Source organism: Homo sapiens, chromosome 4 (genome assembly GCF_000001405.40).
Source record: "Homo sapiens chromosome 4, GRCh38.p14 Primary Assembly".
Lineage (NCBI taxonomy): Eukaryota > Metazoa > Chordata > Mammalia > Primates > Hominidae > Homo > Homo sapiens.
In genome coordinates, this window is record NC_000004.12 from 182,318,622 (window position 1) to 182,344,568 (window position 25,947).

At 39.0% G+C, this 25,947-nt stretch overlaps 1 protein-coding gene across 24 annotated transcripts in view, besides 1 other annotated feature; it reads left to right on the plus strand.

The window, feature by feature from the left end:
* The window catches only part of TENM3 (teneurin transmembrane protein 3), a 1,355,412-nt gene that overhangs the window by 871,009 nt on the left and 458,456 nt on the right, over window positions 1–25,947 (plus strand). For all 24 annotated transcript variants that reach the window (XM_017008385.2, XM_017008389.2, XM_017008390.2 and 21 more), the window contains one exon: window positions 5,325–5,631. In XM_017008385.2, coding sequence (XP_016863874.1) covers window positions 5,400–5,631 — 232 coding nt within the window. In that variant the 5' untranslated portion in view covers window positions 5,325–5,399. The remainder of the gene's footprint in view (window positions 1–5,324; window positions 5,632–25,947) is intronic.
* Window positions 20,559–21,154: an enhancer, noted in NCBI's record as "NANOG hESC enhancer chr4:183260333-183260928 (GRCh37/hg19 assembly coordinates)". NCBI's record gives its function as "activates a minimal SCP1, AML or CMV promoter by ChIP-STARR-seq in naive H9 embryonic stem cells {active_cell/tissue: H9 hESC(naive)}" and the evidence as "EXISTENCE:reporter gene assay evidence [ECO:0000049][PMID:30033119]".

Sequence of the window (25,947 nt, forward strand, 5' to 3'; positions counted from 1 at the left end):
AATCCAACTTGCTTTAAGCCCAGCTGTGGTTTCCAGAGGAGTGCTATGGTTAGTAGCTGAGTTGCGTTTCAAGGAGCTAATGAAAATTAACCAACTCAGCTTGATATTGTTGTGTGTTTGCTGTAGCCAGTTCAATCAGAAGTTTTTTATCTGTTTTGTTTTTTGAGACAGAGTCGCACTCTGTTGCCTGGGCTGGAGTGCAGTGGCATGATCATGGCTCGCTCTGTCCTTGAAGTCCTGGGCTCAAGCGATCCCCCTGTCTCAGCCTCCTGAGTAGCTAGAACTACAGGCATGTGCCACCATGCCCAGCTAATTTTTGATTTTTTTATAGAAATGTGGTCTCACTGTGTTGCCCAGGCTGGTCTTGAACTCCTGGGCTCAAGCAGTCCTCTCACCTCAGCCTCCCAAAGTGCTGGGATTACAGGCATGAGCCACTGAGCCTGGCCAATCAAAAGGTTTCTTTTGTTTGTTTTTTTGTTTTTTGTTTTTTGTCACCTTTCTAATGGCTTTCCTTATTTTTCAAAGGCTTTGCCCACTGATGCAGCTAATGTCATATTCATTAAATGCTGTTTGCTAAATATGCACACAGTGACCCTCTTCCTTGTGTAGGACTGTGCAGTCACTATCAAAGTGCTCTAACAATTTGGCATTACTTAAGCTGCATTTCTTAACCTTCTCGTCTTCAGCCTTGAGTGGAAGAGATAACACAGAAAACTGCCTTTTGAAGTCATATTGAACTCACTGACTTCCATCAATGAAGCATATCAGTAGTTGCAAATATTGCAGTGTAGATTAAATCCTCGAAGAGTTTGAACTATGTACGAAAATGAAAAGGAGATACAGAGGACTTTTTATTGTTTACAGTCTAAGATCAAATTGCCTCGATCTTTGATGGCATAATCAAATACTACATCTTGATGTATTGTGGCACTGGAGAATTGCTTCACAAATAAAGAAAACTCAGATATTTGATGCTAGAGATGTTTTAGAAAGCTTAAGAATACCTAAAATCATCTTTCCATTACTAGGTGTTAACATTTAGTTGGTATTGATTTATAAACTTTAGAAGTATTACCACAAAGTTGCATCTTTAATTGCTATTACTGTGTTAAAGAACGTACTGATTATCTAATTTGCAAGATTATAAAATGGTATCATGAAAATGATACAGTAGAGAGAATACTTTTTGCCCTTGAAGATCCAAATGGGGCCGGGCACTGCAGCTCACGCCTGTAAATCCCAACCCTTTGGGAGGCCAAGGCGGGCAGATCACCTGACGTCAGGAGTTTGAGACAAGCCTTGCCAACATGGTGAAACCCCATCTCTACTAAAAATATACAAATTAGCCGGGTGTGGTGGCACGCGCCTGTAATCCCAGCTATTTGGGAGGCTGAGGTGGGAGAATCGCTTGAACAAGGGAGGCAGAGGTTGCAGTGAGCTGAGATTGCACCAGTGCAATCCAGCCTGAGTGAAAGAGTGAAACTCCGTCTAAAAAAAAAAAAATCCAAAGAGAATGGAAAGACGGATGGTTTAACTCAGAGGTTTACACACTGTTTTCTCTAAAGGACCAGATAGCAAATAGTTTAGACTTTGCAGGCCATCAGGTCTCTGTGTTAGTTTCCTGTGGCTGCAGTGAGAAATGACCACAACCCTGGTGGCTTAGAACAACAGGAAGTTATTCTGTCAGTTCTGGAGGTAAAAAGTGTGAGGTCAAGGGCCACACCTCTGCGGTCCAGAGAAGAATCTGCTTCGCGCCTCTCTTCTGACTTCTGTTGGTTGCTGGTGGCCATTCGTGCTCCTTGGCTTTCAGGGCCATTGCTCCAATCTCTGCCTCTGTCTTCTCCTGGCCTTCTTTCCTATGTGTCTGTGTGTGCCTGTATCCAAATTTTCCTCTCCTGTCTCTCATAAAGACACCAGTCATTGCATTTAGGGCCCTCCCTAATCCAGTATGACCTCATCATAATCTTACTACATCTGCAGAAATAAAAGTAAAACCCCATTTTCAAATAAGATCACAGTCGCAGATACTGGGAGTTAAGATTTCAGTTAAGATTTATCTTTTGGGGAGACACAATTCAAACCACTGCAGTTCCTATTGCAGCCACTCAGCTCTGTCTTTGTAGCATGAAAATGGCCAAGGACAATAGGTCAACAAATGCAAGGGCTGTGTTCCAGAAAAACTTTACTTACAAAAACAGGTGGTGGATCCGATTTGGCTGGCAGAGTTTGCCAGTCAATACCTGGTCCAACTAATTGAAGCAAAACAGCAGCAGAGCAGAAAACGATTTCCCCTTGCTTCAATCAGTTCAGTTTTAAAGTACCAAAATGCATACATATGTGTATATATAGCAACACTTATTTTAAAATAGATGTCAATTTAGGGCAAGAAATGAAACTTTTATAATGACTTCAAATCCCGAATCTTTATTACTAAAAATGCTCGAATTATATTTTTCTGATCAATGAAAAGCTTTTTAATGATCATTTAGTTTTCGGTCTATAGGGCCCTCCCTCCAAAAAGATCAAGATGATTTGGAAACAAAATTTCCCTGGAACTGAGACATATTTATTCACTCTGTCAGAAAGAATGTACCTGTTTCCCTGACTAAATGTATGCCCCATAAGGACAGGAACATTTATCCACTCTTTGTCCTCAGCACCTAGAAGGCAGCCTAGCACATAGTAGTCACCCAGTAAATATTCATCTAAAATAACTTCTTGGGGCCGGGCGCGGTGGCTCACTCCTGTAATCCCAGCACTTTGAGAGGCCAAGGCAGGTGGATCACCTGAGGTCAGGAGTTCTAGACCAGCCTCACCAACATGGTGAAACCCCGTCTCCACTAAAAATACAAAAATTAGCTGAGCGTGGTGGTGGGTACCTGTAAGTCCAGCTACTCGGGAGGTTCAGGCAGGAGAATTGCTTGAACCTGGGAGGCAAAGGTTGCAGCAAGCCAAGATTGTGCCACTGCACTCCAGACTGGGCAACAGAGCAAGACTCTGTCTCAAAATAATAATAATAATAATAATAAAATAACTTCTCTTGGCCGGGAGTGGTGGCTCATGCCTGTAATCCCAGCACTTTGGGAGGCTGAAGTGGGCGGATCACGAGGTCAGGAGATGGAGGCCATCCTGGCTAACATGGTGAAACCCCATCTGTATTAAAAATACAAAGAAGTAGCCGGATGTGGTGGTGAGCTCCTATAGTCCCAGTTACTTGGGAGGCTGAGGCAGGAGAATCACTTGAACCCAGGAGGCGGAGGTTGCAGTGAGCCAAGAGCGCGCCACTGCACTCCAGCCTGGGCAACAGAGCGAGATTCCGTCTAAAAAATAATAATAATAAATAAATAAATAATACTTCTCTTTGTTGGAATAAAAAGAGTGAATTGGTGTGTTGTTGTTTTAATCCTTTGGTATAAAAATAGTCTGTCACCATACCTTGAAATTGTTTATTATTTCAATTTAAGTTTGAAAGGAAAGGTACAATATGAGAAATTCAGTTTCTCTTAAGAGCTATTGGAAGAATTTGTAAATGTAATAATGGAGTAATGAATCAGAGGGGTCAGTGAAAAATCGTTTTTTAAAATAAAAACCAAATTCATGGAAAAGAAGACAAAGGTAGAGAAATCAAGATATATTCCAAGACTAAACTAAAATATTAGCAACTACTTTGAACAGCTCAGTATTTGGTAGCCATATCGGTATTTGGAAGCAGAGAAATATGGAACCCCACAAGGGAACCCTTCATTGGCAACATGGAGAGAGGAGGGTATAATTTGGTTGAAGACATAGCAGGGAGGAACACTCCAAACCTTCCCAGGTCTGGGCTGTGGAACTCTGTGATTATTCCAGCGCAGGGAGTCTTGCCACTCTTCTTGTAGCTGATGGAAGGCAAAACTTGGAAAGTGAGGGGTACATTTGTAACGTTACAACAGAAAGGATCAAGAATTCTTGACAACTCCAGGATAAGCTGAGTTGACATGGGAGAGAGTCAGCCACAAGGCTCCAAGTTGGAAGCACATTAATGAGCTGTATGATGTGTATACTGACAGTGCATGCTCGAGAGAGTGGGGGAGAAAGAGAGAGACAGTCAGAGACAGAGACAGACAGAGACAGAGACAGACCAAGACTGAGACCAGAGACACTGATTCTTTGAGAGAGGGACTCACTTTTTTTGGAGGTGAAGAAACTACTATCTCAACAGCGGTCACGGCCAAAGGATACTACAGGAACCAAGGAGAAGGCCTGAGGCCAGTTGGGAACCATTGATTTCAAGTTGACTATGGAATCACTCAAAGAAAAAGTGAATTTACCAAAAAGTGATTTTAGTGGGGTGGGAGGAAAACACGAAGGGCTGAAGATAAAGCCTTCGGGGTCCTTCAGATTAAAAGGAGAGACAACATGAGAAGGAATAAAGATAAAGGAGAACCATTTGAAATGCGGATTCGCCCCGGGCCACTCTCCCTCTTGAAGGCCCCAGTCTTTTGCCGGCAGACCCTTTCCTCCCACCCTTTCCACTGTCAGTTCAGCAAATTCAGGAAATAGAGAGTTTTTAAGCAGAGCAACACCATTTGCCTCGCTTATTCGTGCAGTTGCAGGAAACTCCCCCCATCAAATTAGCCCCTTGAATTACCTTAAATATCACGATTTGCGCTGATTAAATTCATTTGCTAGAGAGGAAAATCCATTTTAAGCAGAATGGTATGGGGAGGAGGACCAGCTTTTTCCACAGTTCAAGACATTTGAGTTCTTAAAACATGAAAATTGTGCCCTCTGAAGAAAGAGTCTTTGTAAGATATATTAAAAAAAAAAAAAAAAAAGTTCAATGCATTTGACAAAGTTTCAGTGGCAAGAATTTCCCAATTTGTTCCTGCTCTTTAGAATACATTGAAAAAGAAAAAAATAGTGTACGTTTATAAGAAAATGAAAGGGAATTTATTTTGAATGGAGAAATGCTATAAAGAGAAAAAGCCATTCTAACTTTTCCATTGTGGAAAATTTAACAAACTATTGAAGCCAATTTTTAGCTGGCTTCTGTAGTGAAATTTCAGCGTGAGCTTACAATTTTTTTTTTGTATTAATGGGGAAAATCAGATACAGTAGCTTCAATAAACACTCATAGCACTCACCAGCAGAAAGCGTGCTTCACCTCTTGGTGATACAATGTATTTTACACTGATTTCAGAAATACTAATTTCTTGTTGAAAGCAAGTTTCCTAGATAAGCAATACTATTGTTTCCTACCATCCCAGATTGAGAAGGGTAGAGAGTAGCCAGTTTTTAGGTGAACGTCATGCTGACCTCATGCAAACCTTGTATCTTCACAGAGAGGCCAATGAGACTTGAACCCTGAGCCTAAGTTGTCACCAGCAGGACTGATGTGCACACAGAAGGAATGAAGTATGGATGTGAAAGAACGCAGGCCTTACTGCTCCCTGACCAAGAGCAGACGAGAGAAGGAACGGCGCTACACAAATTCCTCCGCAGACAATGAGGAGTGCCGGGTACCCACACAGAAGTCCTACAGTTCCAGCGAGACATTGAAAGCTTTTGATCATGATTCCTCGCGGCTGCTTTACGGCAACAGAGTGAAGGATTTGGTTCACAGAGAAGCAGACGAGTTCACTAGACAAGGTGGGTAACTGTCCTAGTAAAATAAGGCAATGCTCACGTTACTAACTTGTAGGTGTCGTGATTTTCCCCTCAAGGTGACATGTCTGTTTTCTGACTTTGGCGTTCCATCTGCTGATTCTGATTTTGAGATATTAGATCATCATGCAGTATTCCAGATGAGAGATAGAAAGCCACCGGTGGGCACATTGGTGCCCCAGGCACAGGCACTGACACGTGGAGAATTCCGAAGCCTCACCTGCTATACGTGAGGTTTATGATTCTGCACGTGGCCCAAGCGTTTGTACAAACTTGTGTAAACTTGAAACTCCAGTCTCTGGGGCTCCCTTTTAGTTGAATGAAGGTGCTCACAGACATTGTGTCTGTGGCTAGAACCGGTACAAGGAGAACAGGAGCTGTTGGTGAAGAAACCCATCTTTCCCTCACAAGAAAGTGTGGCTTATTACCCCAGATCATCTCAGGACCCAAGCAGTCCTGCTGTTTGCCTCTGTCTGATTCACACAAAAGCCTGCCACGGAAAGGTTCCATTGTCTTTCTCCCAGGCAACCTAGTAAATTAAGTTTATACCTTAACACTTCCTAGTTTCCCACAATGTAATCCACTAGGGCTTGGTCATTCGCGTCTATCTGTTGAACATTTTTACACTGTTTTTGGCCTGAGGATGCTCCCAGTGGAATCATGACTCCTGTAACTTTACTTCACTCTCCTAAACCTACCCATTTCTACTCTTAAGACAGTAGGTTATTTTTTATTAGACATACATAGTTATATTTTGTTTCTTCTAATACAGTCTTGAGATGTGGGCAAGATTACTAATAAAAATAAAATCCTCTTACATTTGTAATGTGCAGTATAATTTACATATAACTTAGCATTCTTTAGCTAATTTAATCTGGAAATGAGAAAAAATAAATTAAACTTTAATAATAAAGAATATATTCATTCTTTTCCAATCACCGTACAGACAGTGTGACTAACAGTCTGATATTGGGCAGGAACACATTTAAGAAAAAGTAATAATGCAATAAATCGTTCAAAAGTTGGAAAATTTTCCATGGTTCTTTTCTTCCCTGCATTGTGCAAAGAGCCATTGTAACTAGATTGAAATAGTGTTCACTCACCCAAGCCGGTTTACATCAAAGAAAACTCATTTGATTCGCTAAGGAGAGATTTTTATACCCTAAAGCATGCCTTACTAATTACTGGTATCAAATTTTATGAAAAGGGACAAAATAGCTTAACATTTTTAATCCGTTTTTCAGGGGAGATACAAAACATATTTGAGGTATGTACTCTTAGTTGACTGTACAATGTATTGTAATTTTAAACCCATTTTTTTCATATTGTCTGCACAGCTGAAATAGATTATCAGTGTACATTTTTTCAACAATTTAAAAAATAGTAAGTAGTGTAGAAATGCATGCAATCTGCACCAAATGTGAAGTCTTGCTTTTTGTATCAAAAATAACTCTTTAGTGCCCTGTTGGAAAACGAAAAAAAAATAAAAAAATTAAAAAAACCCAAACTCCACATTGTGGAATATTATTCGAAGGAAACAGCAGCACATGTGGCGAGATGCACTGGGGGTCATCTCCACCCCGGTTATCTCCACACCAGGCAAGCATTTCTTTTTGGCAGCACAGACGATGCCTACACAGGTTAAAAATAGCGCACTGAACTGTTCTCCTCCTAGGCAGCCTTGATCCAGCGCAGACTGTTGTTGACAACCCGGCGGTAGCATTTGTAGAAGCCCTGAAACGGAGGTTCATAGGGGGCCAAAGAGTGTTATTCCTCACTCCTTCCAAGCCAAGGACTGCAGAATCCAAAGGGGCGGAGGAAAGAGAAAGGGCGCCAGGCGGCCAGGGAGGCCTTGTTGGAGAGCAGAAGTGAATGGAGAAGCGCTCGCGCAGTGTGTGATGGTGCCGCAGGTCACTTGATGTGTATGAATCCGAACTTTGTAGAAACGTAAATGGGATGGACTGCTAGTTACAGCTAATGCTGCCACCCTACTGCGTGCTGGTCAGTGCGCTAGGCAGGTGTGTGAGGCAGCTCCCCTGGTGAGGTGGGTCCCGGTAGCGTAGTCTTTTCACAGATTGAGACGGATGAGGTTTGGAGAGGCTGGAGACCCCATGGCTCCTGAGAACTAAGCTGGAACTTGAGCCCAGGCTTGCCTGGTTCTGGCCTGGCTTCTAATCTCTGTGCAGTTGCCACAGTGGAAAACAGGCAACTCAGTAAAATATCACCCTTTGATTTATTGCAGTCAATTTTTTAAGTCTATTATCATTATTATTAATTAATTAATTTAGTGACAAGCTCGGTCTGTTGCCAAAGCCTGACTGCAGCGGGGCAGTCATAGCTCACTGCAGCCTACAGCTCCTGGGCTCAAAAAATCCTCCTGCCTCAGCCTCCTGAGTAGCTGGGATCACAAGTGCACACCACCACCATGCCAGGGTAATTTTAAAGACATTTTTTTTAATAGAGACAGGGTCTCGCTTGTTCCTCAGACTGGTCTCAAACTCCTGGCCTCAAGCAATCCTCTTACTTGGGCCTCCCTAAGTGCTGAAATAACAGGCCTGAGCCACCACGCCCAGCCCATTTTAGTCAATTTTGAATTCGAATGTTCATGGTGTGGATAGTGAGGTGTGAGCAAACTGTAGGCATATTTAGGAAATAAAATTGATATGATTCTGTAATTGGGTGAATGAGGACGAGTGTGAGGGTGGCGTTGCGGATGCTTTCTCCTTCCTGTGGTTTGATATGCGGAGTATTTGTAGCGGGAGTGGTAGGTGTAGGAGAGAAACGAGTAAGGAAAGTCTGCTATCAGATTATGTTTTTCTTGAGCAAGCATAATGAGAAATCCTTCCAGGCTTTCATTTTCTTTGAACCTGACAAATGTCAATTTTTTCTCACGGACTATTATGCTATGGGATTAATTATTTAATTGAGAAAATGTGCTTCCTGCCACAGCTCCTGACATCATATAGGTCATAAAAATGAAAGATTAAAAATATTCATAGTAGCCAAATATCATTGAAACAATTCCAAAGAGTCATGCTAATTTAGCTTTTTTTGTCCATGGAGTTTTAAAACAGCTGATCAGTCCTGTATCCATTTACTCCTTGAATGACACAGGGAAATGCAACTTCGGCTGGAGAAAGGGACAAGCAGGGTTTCCGTTGGTGCGATTATATGGAGAATTCAAATCGAGAAATATGATGTTTTTATATTTTTAATTGACCAATTTTATGTCTAATTATCAAACTTGAATTTAATGGTTTTGTATGGCTTTACTGACTGGCAGGTGACTACTGTTAATTACATGTTATATTTAGGTAGCATAATGCTGGGGATCATTTCTTCTTCACAGTCATTGTGTAATTTGACGGGATCTCACATTGATCTCTTTCTCTTTTTAAATCTCTTCATGTAGTTTGTTGGTGATGGAAATGTTGCTCTTTGAACAGCTGTGGAGCTTTTGCTGTAGGTGAGGGTGAGGTTAGGGTAACAATGGCTTGTTTTGCATTCTTAGATGCTATTTTCTTTTATTAATCTTTGAAGAAAATTTATCCCATCAGGTCTCAGACAAATTTCTTATGAAACAGCTGCATAGGATCATCCCACAGCTTTTGGAGAAGTGGTAAAATAAAAGAACATTTTTCCTCTGCTGCAGCTCTGTGGGCTATGCACATGTTCTGTAGTATTCTTGACCAAACACTTATCAATTCCAACAAGGAACGCTGCCCGTGAGGGTGAACCTTGAAAAGAGACGATGTCTGGAAGTAAGAATACATTTGTTCCACTGAATCATAAGCCTGAAAAGAACCACTTTGGGGCCCTAACCCAAAGTATATAAGAGTTAGTCAATAATCAGTGTTGGGGTTGTGAATTTCAGAATTTTAACATTTGAAGACTACCACTTATTCTTTATTTGTAGAGTGGCAATGGAGAGGAAGGACTCTGTTTTTTGTTTTTGTTTTTGTTTTTGAGATGGAGTCTCACTCTGTCGCCCAGGCTGGAGTGAAATGGCATGATCTCGGCTCACTGCAACCTCTGCCTCCTGGGTTCAAGCAATTTTCCTGCCTCAGCTTCCCGAGTAGCTGGAATTATAGGCGCCTGCCACTACGCCCAGCTAATTTTTGTAATTTTAGTAGAGATGGGGCTTCACCATGTTGGCCAGGCTGGTCTCGAACTCCTGACCTCAGGTGATCCGCCCACCTCGGCCTCCCAAAGTGCTAGGATTACAGGCGTGAGCCACTGCACCCGGCCAGGACTCTGTTTTTAAATTTGAAAAACACCGTGATATCTATGTTTGTACGTTACTGAAATTAAAACAGAAAGTAAATTTGCAAAGAAGGGAAGGAAGAAGGAAGGCAGTTTGAGAACGACAGGCACTGATTGATTTCTAAGTGTGCCTCATCTCTGGTCTTTGCTGACAGCGTGGCTCCACTCCCAGAAACTCCCCTCTTTGGGCCGTGCCGTCTCTTCATTCTTACCATCATCAGTAATGCTGAGCACTCCCAGCCCCCAGAAGCATGGCTTCTGCTTCTCACCTCCTGCCCTTGCTGGTTCAAGGCCAGTTCAAGTGTAGTTTGGGGGATCCCACTGGGGAGAGGAAAGAAAGAGAAGAGGGAAAGTAGATCCCACAAGGCCTGATTCCCCACTGCCGGACCTCCCTTATGGGCTGCATCCTGAGCGCTAGCCCATCTTGTATGCAAACATTCCAGATGCTAGACCTGCCCCTTACCAAGGATAACCCTTGTGAGGAAACAAAAGGACATTAGAGGAGTAGTCTGAATGTTCCTGTAAATATGTATCTTGGACCCTGGCATGATGGTGGCTTGAATGAGGGCTCATCCACTCATCTCCCAGCAGACTCGCTACCTCCTGTGAGCTGAGCAGTGATCGAGGGTACACATGACATCTGCAACTCTGTTAGGATCGTGAAGGACCAAGCTGGCGCAAGTGTTTTCCGCTTTGTGCCAGAAGAGAGTGTGGAATGGGGTGAAGCCCTAACGTGAAGGTCAAGAAGAATGCTGTGGCCTGGTGGTTCCAGAGAGAGGCTGACCTGCCCCTCCCATGGCCCCCACTTGGGCAAATGTTGCCTTGTGGGAGCAGCTGGTTTCCTTGGCCCCTCAGGAGCTGGGGAAGCCTGAACAGATGCATTTCTCCCTCTGATAGGGTGAGAATGCCATCTAAGAAAACCAAATAGTAGAGATGTTGGTCCCAGGAATCTAACACGATTTCCCGCTCTTTCTTAAAGCACCTCAGGAAAACAACAAATTTAATGGCACCCAGAATTCAGGAAGTGGGATAAGATGTAAAAGAAATAGACTAAGAAGCTTGTAATGAAAATGAACAATGGAGATAAGAGAAGACAACCTGAACCAAAATAAAACATTGTAACTAAAGCATGTGCAGAAATCCCAGAATGATAACAACAAAAAAGCAACAACAACAAAACAAACAATGGCCACCAAATGCTGGAGAAAAAATTAAAATCATAATTTACAAACTAAAAATGGCAGCAGATTAGTTGAAGAAGAGAGGTTAATGGTTTTGAAGACCAGGTAGAAGAAACAACTCAAAACAGAAAAGAGAATTTCAGATAAAATTAAGAAGACAACACCATGCACACACACAAACTGAGGCACATTCTAGAAAAATTCTTTAACTTCAAGGATAAAGAGCGTTTACAAGGTGCCACAGAGAAAAGGCAGGTTACTTTTTTTTACTTACTAAAAATAAATAACACCAATAATGAATTTCTCATCTGCAACAATAAAAGCTTGAAAACAGTGGAATAACACCTACTGAGAGAAAAAAAAAATGCAACCCAGGGATCTTATTTGCAGAGAAGATACTGTAGGAGAGGAAAGATTTCTTTTCCCATGCGTCACTAGTTCATGACTAAGGCCCCTATAACAAAAGACAGATTAACAAGAGAAATGCACACAAATTCATGTAATGTAAGTTTTCGGTGACACAAGAACCTTTATAAGGAAATGAATGCCCAAAGAAACAGGTAAACTTGTGTTTTTTTGTGTGAGGTTGGATGAAGAGGGGACAGTCATGGGGAAGTGTGATTGAACACAGGGATTGAATGGTGATAAACTGGGAGGAACTGGGCAAGGTCTGCTCGTTCAGATTCTTCTCTGTGTCCTTGTGTCTTCAGAGATACGGCTGTTGCTTCCTCCTCGTATAGGGAGGGCACCTCTTGGATGAGGGTCTTATGTCCTGCTTCAGGGGAGAAGGTCAAGGGGAAAGTGAGAGTGGCCTTCCTGCTTCTGCTGTTTTCTCAAATGCCAAGTGCCATGTTTTGGGTAGCATGTCCTGAACCCCATCAATAGCATTTATCTCTCAGAGTAAATGAAAGATACTTAGGTAATGCTGGGATTCAGAGACCACGTCAACAGTGTACACACACCGTCTAAGGAAGTACTCAAGAAGAAATACCAACTGAATTAGAATCATGGCCTCCGAAGAGGAGACAATGATGAGAAAGCAACTCTACAGTGTATATAGTTAAATCTCAAACGATGATTACAGAGCAACTGGAAATGTGTCAGAAGCACTACAAGAGAAACCTTAACAGAAGGCTGGAACTAAAAGCATTTACCTATCTCAGCAAAATCCAGCAGTTGGAGGAAAGTAGAAAAGTAAAAGTGTTCCAAATTCTCATCTCATCTGAAGAGGGAGAGTGGGGAAACAGTTATGAAATAGAGCTTTAGTGGAGGGAAATAATTGCTATCTTGCATACATATGACAATGACAAACATATATTTGAATATGAATGTCAGGAGTGGGAAGGTAATCATTAATACAATGAAAAGAGGACAATAGACCCACCTAATTAGCAGTGAGGAAAGGGATTGACTAGCAGTCTGACCAATTTAGCAAAAACAGCTCCAAGGAAAAAAAGGCAACAGGAAAAATCATGAATAATCAAAAAACAAGATGAAAGGAGTCAAATCTACTCTATTACCTATCACCTAAAATTTAAATGTACTGCATTTTGGCCGGGTGCGGTGGCTTACACCTGTAATCCCAGCACTTTGGGAGGCCGAGGTGGATGGATCACTTGAGGCCAGGAGTGCAAGACCAGCCTGGCCAACATGCAGAAACCCGGTCTCTACTAAAAATACAAAAGTTAGCCAGGTGTGGTGGCAGGAGCCTGTGGTCCCAGCTACTCAGGAGGCTAAGGCACAAGAAGCGCTTGAACCCTTGAGATGGAGGTTGTGGTGAGCCAAGATCAATGCCACTGCACTCCAGCCTGGGTGACAGAGTGAGCTCTGTCTCCAAAAAATAAAATAAATACATGTACTGCATTTTGACATAAACTACTCAATTGTTTCATAAAAGTTATTGGTATTTTTAAGACATACACTTAAAATGGTAAAGAAAATGGTTGAGAATAAAGATATATTAGGTGAATACAAACAAAAAGAAAGGAGGAATGGCAGTATTAATATCAGGAAAGATGGAATTTATGATGAAAAACTCTCAGTAGGATAAAAAGGACCACTGGGTAAGTGATGAAAGGCATACTGTGCAGAAGAAGAACATTCTTAAAATGCGTACCTTAAACAATAATATAGTAGCTAAATTTATAAGCAAAAACTATTAAAAAAAGAAAGATTGTTAAAACACGTTAGTAGTGAGATATTTTGATTCACTTCTTTTAGAATCAGGCAGATCTGAAAGACAAAAATAAGACAGCAATTACATAATATTAATCGAAAATTTCAGCTAAGGTATATATACAGAAATTTATAACTGTCAGAAATGATACAATTTTTTATATTTCTATAGGATAGTTGCAGAAACTGATTATGTATTTGGCCATCTAAAGAAACATTAAAAATTCAGAAAATAGATTTTATAAGCCAAAACATTTTATCATAAAATGTAGTAAAATTAGAAATAAATAACAAAAAGATAATTAGAAATAAATAACAAAAAGATAAATGAAGAAAAGCACTTTTGCCCCTTGGATTATGATGTCCCTTGACTGTGATGAAAAGCAATCAAGAGCAATGAAAATTCTACTTCCAAAATGTATGGGAGACAGTGAAAGTCATAATCATAGGGAAAACATTGTGAAGAAATCAGGAACAAAGACTAACAAAATAGGAATATACTATATATTTAAGAAATGAGTTCAAGCCAGGCACAGTGGCTCACGCCTGTAATCCCAGCACTTTGGGAGGCCGAGGCGGGCAGATCAGCTGAAGTCAGGAGTTCGAGACCAGCCTGGCCAACATGGAGAAACCCCCATCTCTACTAAAAATTCAAAAACTAGCTGGGCGTGGTGGTGGGCGCCTGTAATCCCAGCTACTTGGGAGGCTGGGGCAGGAGAATGGCGTGAACCCGGGAGGTGGAGGTTGCAGTGAGCCAAGATCACGCCACTGCACTCAAGCCTGGGCGACAGAGCAAGACTCCATCTCAAAAAAAGAAAAAAGAAAAAAAAAAAAAGACAAGAAATGAGTAGAGTACAATGTCTGGAAAATAAATCAGAGGAAGTAGGAAGAGGTACATAAGATATAACTGAAATTTAAAACAGACAAAACAGCTAAGTCTTTAAAAAGGCTAGTAAAATAGAAAGCACCTATGATCCTGATTAAGAAATAATGAGAACAAAAATAAGACATCCTAAAAAGACTGTAACAACTAAGAGGTGCTATTATTCCAAGCAATAAATTTGAAAAATCTAGAGGAATTTATTTTTTCTCAGAAAATATGAGTAACCCCAAAAGATTTCAGAAGATGGAGCAAACTTGTCAACACCAATTATTTCAGACAAGATGAGAAAGGTGATTAAAAGAGAGACCATTTCCAAGGGCCAGATATGTTCCTAGGTACATTTTGCATAACCTTCAAAGTACAACTAAGTTTAATGTTTAAAAATCTATTCAACACCACCCTTCATAACAGATGGAAGGCATCAAAGTTCATGTTATGAAGTTGGCATGACCTTAATAACTAAACTTGATTAGAGTAGTACAAAAAAAGAAATCATACATAAATTGCTTCACCTACCAAAACTGCTTTTCAGTAGGTGTGTAAAAATTCAAAACAAGTATTTGCATTTAAGAATCCAGCAATATATAAAAAGAATAATATGCTAGACCAAATTAATAGCCAAGTGGTTACTAATCCTTGCTGAATATACAAGGATTTTTCAGTGTTCAGAAATCTACTAACATAATTAGATTAATAAATCAAAGGGGAAAACCATGATCTTATCAATAGATGATTTACACGTTTTGGAAAAAATTTAGAAAGGATTCTTTATTCAAATAAACTCACAAGAAGAAAAAACACTTCAATATGGTAGTAATATTTGACATGATCACTCTAGACACTAAACAGCATTCTAAAAACTGAGATTCTAGGACATTTCAGTTGAAATAGGAACATAAGAAAGGTTTACCTATTCTCACAATTATTATTCAAAATTGTTTTAGATGTTTTAGCAATTGTAATAAGAAAATTAAATGATATATATTTTGGAAAAAGTTAAAATCAGTACTTTTGTTAAAGATATGGTTGTATGCATACAAAAACCATGTGTCTCTAGAAATTAAAAAAAAGGAATTTGAAGTGAATTTGGTATTTGGATGAATACAAAATAAATATATGGACAGTGTAGATCATATAGTATAACGGTTGAGAGTATAGGTTCTGAATCCACATGACCTGTGTGTGAATCCCAGGTCTGCCTTGCCGTAGCTGACTGGCAGTTTACCTAATCTTGGCCAAGGAACTTTTTTGGACAAGTTACATAATTTCTCTATGCCTCCATTTTCATTATTCATAGATTGTGCTGTAGTTTGTTGAGGATAAAATGAGTTAATATATGTAAACTGTTTAGAATAATGCCTGATACCTGTTATTAATATCTACTGCTTGGAAGTCAGAAAAAAAAATCCTATCACAAAGGCAACAGACACTATAAAATTCTTTGGAATAAATTTTGCAAGCATGCTATGTGACCTAATGTGAGGGTACCTATAAAATATTATTTAAAAAACGTAAAACAGGACCTAAATAAATAATCAATGTTTTTGGATGGGAAGATGATACCATAAGAATATTAATTCTCCCCAAATTAATGCATAGAAGTTAAGGATATCAAATAGAATTCCGGTGGGTTAGAGTTAATTTTAATTGGCGTGAGTGATCTTCAAATTTATCTTAAAATTCAAGTGATCATAAAATTCGTATTTTCAAATTTCTGGAAATAGCCGAAACCATATTTAAAAGTCAAATAGTGAGGACAAAATGGAGTTAATATGTATTTTCAAAAGTATGATGAAGCTGCTGTAATCATGTCTATATGATATTGGCATAAATAAAGACAAGTAGATTCATGGAATAGACAAAAACTTCAGAAATATATCCTAGTATATAGGTAAATTTAACATAAAACAAAAAAAAGGTTTTTCTATTCAGTGGGATTTGATAAATGGTGCTGGCACAACTGGTTATCCATCTGGAAGAATATAAAATTGGACCCATATCTCTCAGCATATTCAAAAATAAATTAAGATGGATTAAAGACAAATGTAAAAAATAAAGCAAGAATTCTAGAAGTTAATTTGGGAGACTAAGATAGGAATGACTTGAGCCATGAGTAGCAGAAAGCTTCAGCTTAAAAACTGAAGAGAATCATTTTCTTATAAAACACGAAGTCCAGAGATAGACTATCTAGCCAGGGCGTAAAGATATCATTAAGGCATCTCTCTATCTTTTTCATCTTTGTCATTCTTAGCCGGTAGCTTTTGTCCCCTTGGTGCCCAGGTGGCAGCTGTGCTTTCATATTCCTGTTGGAGTAAGAATGAACGCACAGGTAGGAAGGCCTTCTCTACTTTGGACTAGTTCATTTTACTCCCCTGAAACTTCTCGCTACCCCTCTCTTTTCAGAGCTGTTATACTTGACCATACTTAGCTGCACAAGAAGACAAAGCGGCCGGGCGCGGTGGCTCACGCCTGTAATCCCAGCACTTTGGGAGGCTGAGGCGGGCGGATCACGAGGTCAGGAGATCGAGACCATCCTGTGAATGGTGAAACCCCGTCTCTACTAAAAATACAAAAAATTAGCCGGGCGCGGTGGCAGGCGCCTGTAGTCCCAGCTGCTCGGGAGGCTGAGGCAGGAGAATGGCGTGAACCCGGGAGGCGGAGCTTGCAGTGAGCCGAGATCGCGCCACCGCACTCCAGCCTGGGCGACAGAGCGAGACTCCGCCTCAAAAAAAAAAAAAAAAAAAAAAAAAGACGAAGCATTTGCCATTTTTGCTTTCCAGTCCTTATAATAAAGGTGGCAAGAAGAAAGTGGTTTGAATCCACACAGCCGATCCCAGGGACTCAATAGTAGGGGAGAAATTTTGCAATAGAAAATTAGAATGTTTCTAACAGAAAACCCAGAAGAAAAGATAGACTTAAATGATTAGTTTTAAAATTTAAAACCTTTTACATGTAAATTAAAATACCCAGAAACAAAATCACTACATTGGGAAATATGTTTATAATTCTTATGACATATATAATGTCTATATCTATAATATACTGAATGACTGTTACAGTTTGAAAACAGAAAGATAAACAGCCCAATGGGAAATGGCATGCATAGACAATTCACAAAAGAGAAATTCACACGGTCAGTAAACGTGAAAAGGAGAATCGATGTTCCTATTAGTGTGGGAAAGGCGGTAGCTAATCCCAAATTCTACATCCCTACTATACAGCCCCTATCCTGGCATCCTTCATTGAGCATTCATATATCCAGGGAATATGCCTAGGAAGTTTCTCCCCACTTGGTAAGCAGGAAATCAATGGAAGCGGCTACTGTAGGCGGGATCTTCCTCATTGGTACATTTGTTCAAAGAGACAGTCTCACACATGGAAGCCATGCCCTAGAGTACAATTCATCCAGTTCTTCATTCAGACACAGATAACTCAGAAGACCTGTGTGTTCCATCTTGGCATCCTCCATGTTGTTTTCATGGGAAAATGCATACTGATTCTTATCAACTTCTAAACCCAACAAATTCCTAAAGTGAGAACTTTCTATATAGTTTTTGAAGTTCTGGCTTAGGAAGAAGCCAAAAAAAAAAAGCAATTCATGAATAGCTGTGCTCAAAACTTTACACAGAAGCTCTCATTATAGTGTGTGAAATAAACAATAACACAAAAAACTGAAAGAAAAAAACTGCAAAATATTCACAGAGGGTGCATTTGAGAGTGGGGCTGTGAAGGAACACCTTCTGATTTTCAGTCAAAAGGTCAAAGGCCAAAAATAATTCCTGCTTCGGAACTGCAGCAGGTTGGTTCTACCCTTTGGGGGTTGGAGAAGAAAAGCACCTTTCCAGATGGCCAGATCTAGCTTGTTAATGTCCCTGCTGCCCTGATGGCTTGGTTTTCAATTCAGGGTGAACTTCAGATATGGTGTTTAAGGGAGGAGCCAGATAAGAACATAGCATTGTGCTTTTGATTTATTTTAGGGATGAAATGTAAACCAAAAGTCCCCAATGCTGAAGGAAATTTTAACTTTTTCTTTTCCATTTTTCTCCTTGGACTGTTGATGCTATTATTCTTAGCTTTTTTTTTTTTTTTTTTCTTGTGTTCCATTGTGCTGCCTTTTTTCTGCCTCTGCATAAACTGATATGGTTGGGAGATCTTTGAGAGCCTCTGAGTCCACTGTATACATGAGGAATATGAGACTCAAACTTGTTAAAGTGTTCACTCAGACAACAGCTGGTGAGTTCTAGGTCCAGAAGAAAACTACAATCAAATTTCAATCATTTTTCTACACTACTCTTTTATCTTTCTAGTTTCTATTAGAAAACCGCAGTAAAAAGCTACGTATGTTCTTAAATATCTTCACAAATGTGAGATAGACAAAGATATCTTAGAAAGGTCCTAAGTGGAATAAATATAAAAGAAAAAAATTGATAAATTGGACTTCATCAAAATTACAAAGTTTTGCTTATCAGACATTACCTTTAAGAAAATGAAAAGCAAATCCACAATCTGGGAGAAAATTATCTATCTATCACAGAGACTTGTCTCTAGAATATATAAAGAGCTTCTACAAATCAACAACAAAAGATAAATAACCAAATTTTAAAATGGGCAAAAAACTTTTAATAGAAACATCACAGAAAAGAGACACAAGTGACTAATAAGCCTGTGGAAAATGCTCAGCACCGTTAGCCATCAGAGAAATGAAAATTAAAACCACAATGAAATACTACCACTCATCTTCCAGAATGGCTAAAATTAAAAAAGACCCATAGCACCAAATATTGAGGATGTGGAACAACTGAAACTTTCATATGTAAAATGACACAACTGCTTTGGAAACTGTTGGGCAATTTCTTATATAAAGTTAAAAATAACATCTCCCACTGGACCCAGCAATTCATCTCCTTAGTATTTACCCAAAGTAAATAAAAACTTAAGTTCATAGCAGCTTTATTCATAATAGGCCCATATTGGAATCACCAAGAGAATGGATATAACAATTGTATGTTAATACAATAGAATATGAGTTGGCAACACAAAAGAGTGATCTACAGATACTTGCAACAATGTGGAAGAATCTTAAATATCCACTGAGCAAAAGGATCCTGAGTACATCCTGTATGACTCCATTTATATAAGGTTCAAGAACATACAAAACTAACCTTCTGTAGAAGAAATCAGGACAGTGGTTGCCTGTTGGGTGGGGATTGACTGGGTACGGGAGAGCTTTGTGGGAGTGATCTTATCTTGCTTGGGGTCATGGTGGGTACATTTGTTAAAACTCATGGAAGTATCCACTTTAGATCTATGTATGTCACTGCCTATGAAATTTACCTAAATATTAATAAATACAACAGAAGCAAAAATCAGCATGTTCAAACAACTGTAGTTGAACATGGAAAGTTTTGGGTTTGTATTTTCCCGGCTTCCACAGGGGTAAGATTTGATTTGGTGCCAAGAGCAGAGTTGCACTGTCTCTACTGAACCATAACCACAATCTTTCAAAAACAACCTCCGCTGTCATCGCACTATAATGTTTTGCTGGATAAAGGCATTTTGCCCATTAAGATAATAACATATACAACATATCCAGGACTGCACTGAGAGAATAAAGAGTTTGTGTCATAGATGGGACCAGATCTTCAAATATTTTCATCTGTTTCCAAATAAAAAAGAGCCTGTTTTAAGCTCTTAGATATAGACTACTTATTTTGGGGGAGGGGGAGGCAGTTTTATTAGAATATTACTAAAATGATAAGTGGTTTTTAAATGTTTCTTTATATTGTATGTTCTGGCTAGGTCAAAAGAATTGAAATCATATTTCTTAAATATATAACATGAAAGTTGTACATATAATTTTAGAATGTCACTGGTAGCATTGGACAGATATAAAAATAGTGTCAGTAACTCCTTTGATTAAAATAATAATGTCTCTGCACCATTTTATCCTGCTTTGGATGTGAAATGGAATAAATTATTTTTGTTACTCTTCTTATTTTTATTTTATTTATTTGTATTTTTTTTGCATTATGAAAATCTATTAACCATTCAGACATGTTGGAAATTGTGAAAGAGGAAGATTTGAGAGCCAAGAGGAAAATGCTTTTAATTTTAAAGACTGAGATTTAGTTTAGTCTTGGATGCCATTATAGTGAATAATGGGAACTGATCCGAGACTTCAAAAGAAATATGACCATATGGTCCTACCATTCAGTACTTAATGCTGCCATGAATTTCCAGTTAGACCCCAAACTTTTCATTTCCCCAGTGTTCCCCCTCACCTCTGTCATCAGACAAAAACGAAAGGAATCTGAAACCCCTTTTCATGTTTTCTGAAATACTGGTGCTGAGAAAGCTTATTTTTGTGAGAATTGAGTTTTATGAAAAAAGACAAAAACCTGAAACATTAATCAGATCCACTGGGCTAATTACTGCAACTCCAAAGTTTATTACTTTTAAATATTAACTGCTTAAAATGATTCATTTAGAGATCAAAATGATTAATCCTTCTCAGTCACTATAAATGTCAGCGGCAGGATTAAAGGATTTAGATGGTCATGTTTACTCAACCTTACATTTCTGTACTTAAAGACACAAGTTAAATAGCTCTAGTTTATCATTGTTTCATGTTAATGGTTTTCCTCTTAGCTCCCTCTTTTAGCTCCCCTGCCTAACTGATTGTTAACTAATTTTGGCTGTTAAGTAGGCAAGGGCTTCTTTCAGGCTCGGCAGCCAACCTGCTTTGTGGATTACCCACCAGAAGGTGTGAGTAGATAGATGTAGCTTACAGCCCTCCTCAGGACGCAGTGGGGGTAATCCTTTCCCCCTGCCTCGGCCTTCATTGGTCTGATGTGTTGAGCCCCAGCTTACTGCTCAACTTGTATCTGGTTCCTTGCCACGTTGCCCATTTTGGATCCACAGTGTGACTCACCGCGGTGCTGCTTCAGTCGCAATTATTAAACACCTGCCGCTTTATGCCAAACCATAGGCGTATTTATACCAATACCTACTGCAGTTCGACTATCAGATATCAGCAGATACATTGCAGGCGTATTATCATTGCCGGGCCTTGGATTGTTCTAAAGAAGTCATTTCTAAGTAAACATAAGAAGCAAATTTATTTTCAGAATGTTTTTGATTTAAAAAAAAAAGCTATTTTAAAGTTATTTCTTAATTACAAATGTTTGCTAAAGCTTTTTTTATGGTTGCCCCATTAAATCCTTCATTTCCAGACCTAAGACATGCTCTTTCTTTATACGTCAGCCAACTCACAACCTAATTTTTCTTATTTGGGCCACCAAACCTTCCATTCAATATGCATATGTTCGTCCTCCCCTGGAGGCCTCACAAATTTTATCTTGAAGAAAATGCATCTTTTCTGGGGCCATTCATTCTAGTCCTGGCTTTTCAGCTTGCAGATATACCTAGGGTTTCCCTTTCTTACCCACCTCCTCAAGTTCACCTTAGTGCCCAGCCTGGAATTTCCATTGAAAGCTACATTTGTGATGATTGCCGAGGGGATGTCCTGCAATGGCTTCCATTAGACTTGTGTTGTGAGTCATCAATTAGATTATGAGTATGGTGTCCAGTGGTCATTTTCAGCGTCCTCTGGAAATTCATGGGTTTCAATATGTGGTTATGGGTATTAACAACATATTAATAGATAAATCAAGTAAGTAGTTGAAATGGGGTGGGGACCTTAAGGTATTTAGTGGGATTTTAAGTTAGTTTCTTAAACCTGTTTTTTGTAGGGCCTTATGAATAAAGATTTGTAGCCTCACTGAAATTTCTATTGCATGTTCAAGAATGGGTATTTTGTTCAAATGGTGACACATTTAACATAAAAGGTTAAAGAGTTTGGAATGTCCCATAAAATATGTATTTGGAAATAAAATTACATATACTTCTTTTGCTGTGGAATCTTCTTACGATTTTGCAAATACAGCAAAAGAGAGAACTCTGGAAGACATGGTGGTGCCACTGATTCAACAAGCACCTAATAAGAAATGCTTTCCCAGTTTGTAGTTTTGTGTTCTGCCTGACTGATGGAGGAGAGTCACTCCATGCCTGAGAAGAAATAATTCCATTCAAGCTCACAACAACCAAGGAAAATAATTAAAGACAGCTATAGATTGTTTTATTTATGTGCATTTAATTTATATTTATTCATCCATTTTTTCCCATATTCAATTTTGGGGTTACTGTAGGAGAAATGAATGGTTATTCTCCTTTAAAACAATCCATATATGATGAAGAAAAAGGGAAGGATTGAAATGGAGGGGAAAATGCTCCCATGTATCTTACAAAGTTTCATTTCTTTACAATAAACGAGGAAGGATTTTTAAAACTGAGCTTCCCCTAGAAGAGGCAATAAATTAAATTTCTAATTATTGAGTAGAAGCTATTAAACAGCAAATCAAGAAAATATATTTGTTTTTTAGAAAGAAGATAGGCTTTAATTTTTTCTTTATTATGTTTTTAAATTATTGAAATAATTATCATGAGAAGTAAAAATTCAAAACTATAAAATAGAAAATTACTAATTTCCTTCATTTACAACCTTTTCTAAATGACCCATTATAACAGTTATATATCTCCTTCCTCACCTTTATTCAGATTCAACTTATATAACCTGTGGGTCCTTTTCCTTAATTTCCAAAAGTGGGATTATACTATATACATAATTCTACAACTTGCATTCTTTTTCTACTTAAAATATATACAAACGAGCTTCCCTGCAGATCCGAAGACATGGGTCCAACTCATTCTTTATGCTAACCACAGTGTTCCACAGCATGGGCATGCAACTTTTCCAGCCATTCTCTTTCTGGCCAACATTTGGGTTATTTAAAATTTTGCAACAATGCTGTAGTAAACAACTTGTTTAAATAAACATTCTGTATATTTAAGATCAGGTGATTTTATTTCTATAGGATATAGTTCCAAAGGTAGATTTCCTATGCTAAATAATATTTCTGATTTTAATAGAAAAATATTTTACATGGAGTGAAAGCAGCATAATAGAAGGCAAAGAAAAAAATGATAGAATAAAATAATAAATTTGCATAGCAGACTCACAGAATCAGCTGCTTTTCAGGGGAACAATGATTCTTGTTTGCCCTCTAAATTTCAATACCAATGACCTATATTTTAAGCCCTCATTGCGAACTCCAAGTCCCACATAAAGTGTGGTATAAAAGAGAACCAATAGATGATAACAAGTGTTCATGAGCCTGTGCAGAATTAAAACCCTCATACACTGCTAGTGGGAATATAAAACACTGCAGTCATTGTGGAAAACAGTCCGGCAGTGCCTCAAAAGGTTCAATACAGAGTTACCATATACCCCAGCAGTTCCTCTTCTAGGATATGCTCAAGAGAAATGAAGACATATGTACGCATGAAAACTTGTACAGGAATGTTCCTGGAAGCATTCTCATAATAGTAAAAAAGATAGAGATAACTCAAATGTCCATTAACTGATGAATGGATAAATGATAGTGTGTCCATACAATGGAATATTATTCAGCCATAAACAGGAATGGAGTACTGATGCATGCTATGACATGGAAGAACTTTGAAAACATTATTCTAAGTGAAAGAAGCCAGTCACACAAGACCACATATTGTGGATCTTCTTTATTTGAAATGTCCAGGAAGGGAAGTAGATGAGTGGTTGCCTAGGGCTGGGGGTGGGAGGGGTGAGGGGAAAATAGAAGGTAGCTGATAATTGGTATAAGGTGTCTTTTTAGGGTGATAAAAATGTTCTAAAATTAATTGTGCCCATAGTTGCAGAACTCTGAATATACTGAAAACCATTAAAGTGTACACTTCAAGTGGGTGCATTTTGTGGTATGTGAGTTATGTTTCAATAAAACTGTTTGTTTTTTTAAAGGAACAAACAAGCAAGAGACCAAGAGAGAAGGAGAGAAAGCCAAATCTAGATATTAGAGAAATCCAGACATTAGTGAGGAGAGAATGCCTTCCCCGTGGGGTGCTTTCGTCATCCTATGTACCTCTGAGACTAGTCCCTCGGGTAGAATCTGTTTCTCATACAAGAGATAGTAGATGTGTTACCCATTGGTGAACATCACCCTGATTGTGGCTTTGAAAAATCCCTCACTGCTCCAACTAGGTTATAGACAAATAGAACAAATTTCTATGAGAAAAAGAACAAATAGCTAACCCATTTTCCCAATCTCCTTCTTTTATTAAAGAGGGAGCTGTGCTATGTGCCAATCTCATTTGAAATATTTGTCCTTACACCATCCTTTCTACTTTGTCAAATACCCTCACTCGTTTTTTAAAACGTGAACCTAAAAAAAATGATGCAGCCCACCTAGGTTGTGTTTATTCAGTTTTCCTTTTCTAGATTTTCACATTTATGAGTGTCATAAAACAAAAATGCCTAATATAATCCGAGCTAACCTTGCCTTTTAATCACAGTGAATTCCATCCTCAGGTGTACTTTGTTCTTGCTACAATTTATTGTTTTGGTCCTGTTTCAAATTGTAATGGGAAACTCTTGTTGGCTCTGCTGATCAAGGTTACCAAAATTCAATGTACAGGAGATAAATACTTATTTTGCCAGTTATGGCCAAGCAGAATTAATATAAAGACCGTAAAAGGCAAAGAAAGAAATTAAAGCAATGTTAGAACTACTGCAAAGAACATGGCTTTTCCAATGTAAAGAAAACATGGAAAATGAGAATAAAGTATTGTTCCTTGAAGCCAAAGCTGACTTTACATAGGATTGTCCAGGGTTCAGCCTGGTCCCAGGGGCATCTCAGCTGCCTTGTCCTGCCTCTTCCCACTTCTCTGCACTGCCATAAAGCCCTCCCCACTACTACAAGCCCAGCCCAGCCCAGCCCAGCCCTCCCGCCCTCCTCCACACCGCTTGTCGCAGTCAGGGAGCTCTATTCTCTCCATCTTCCCTGCACTGGTCAAAACTGCAGATGTTTTCCATCAGCATAGTGTATCTTGCTAAACACTGCTAGATTGCAAGAAATAATCGAATAGACTAATTTATTCTAGTTTAAGGTTAGATCTTTCCAGGGGTGTTTGCATTAAAATAAGGGATCCTAAAAATAAAAATTTCTTAACCACTGAGGAGAAGTGACAACAATAGAATGTGAAGCACTGAGGGAGGTCTGGAGCAGGGATGTTTTTGAATAAAGGCAATTACTTAAGTAAAACTCAACTTTGGTGGTGGTGTTGCTATTTGAAAATGAGTTGAAAATGATCCTCTCCCTACTCTCAAACTATACACTTCTCTGTGATTATTAATTACGTTTGTCAAGGTATTTATTTTTTAAGTGATTTTTTTCATTTAGCCCTTTTTTGTGTGAGTCACATTTACATAAACCATCTCCTAAACCAAGTCAGGACAGCCCTGAAAGATGAAAAAATAGAGTGTAAAGTGACTTAAACAGAGCTAGTGAGTGGCTTTAACCTGAGTCCAACTGAGGCCAAGTTTAGTTTTCTCTCCTAGGGGAAACTAAAACAAACTTTTTAATTCAGTAAGGAAATCTAACAGGGACTCCTGCTATGGTGCTTGCATCATAGCTTCATTTCAGAAGCAGCCCTGGAGAATTTTGAATCATTGTAAGACATTGACTTCAGAGGGAAGTCGATGGAGGGAAGTATTTATGGAGTTTGGGATACGTATATCAATTCATAGGGATGATGTGTTGTGTTTTTAGTTGCAAAGTGAACTGTGTTTACATACCTGGGTAACAAAGATTACAGTTTTCTGCTTCCTTCACCTCATAGATTTTTTGCATCAAGATGGCAATAGTG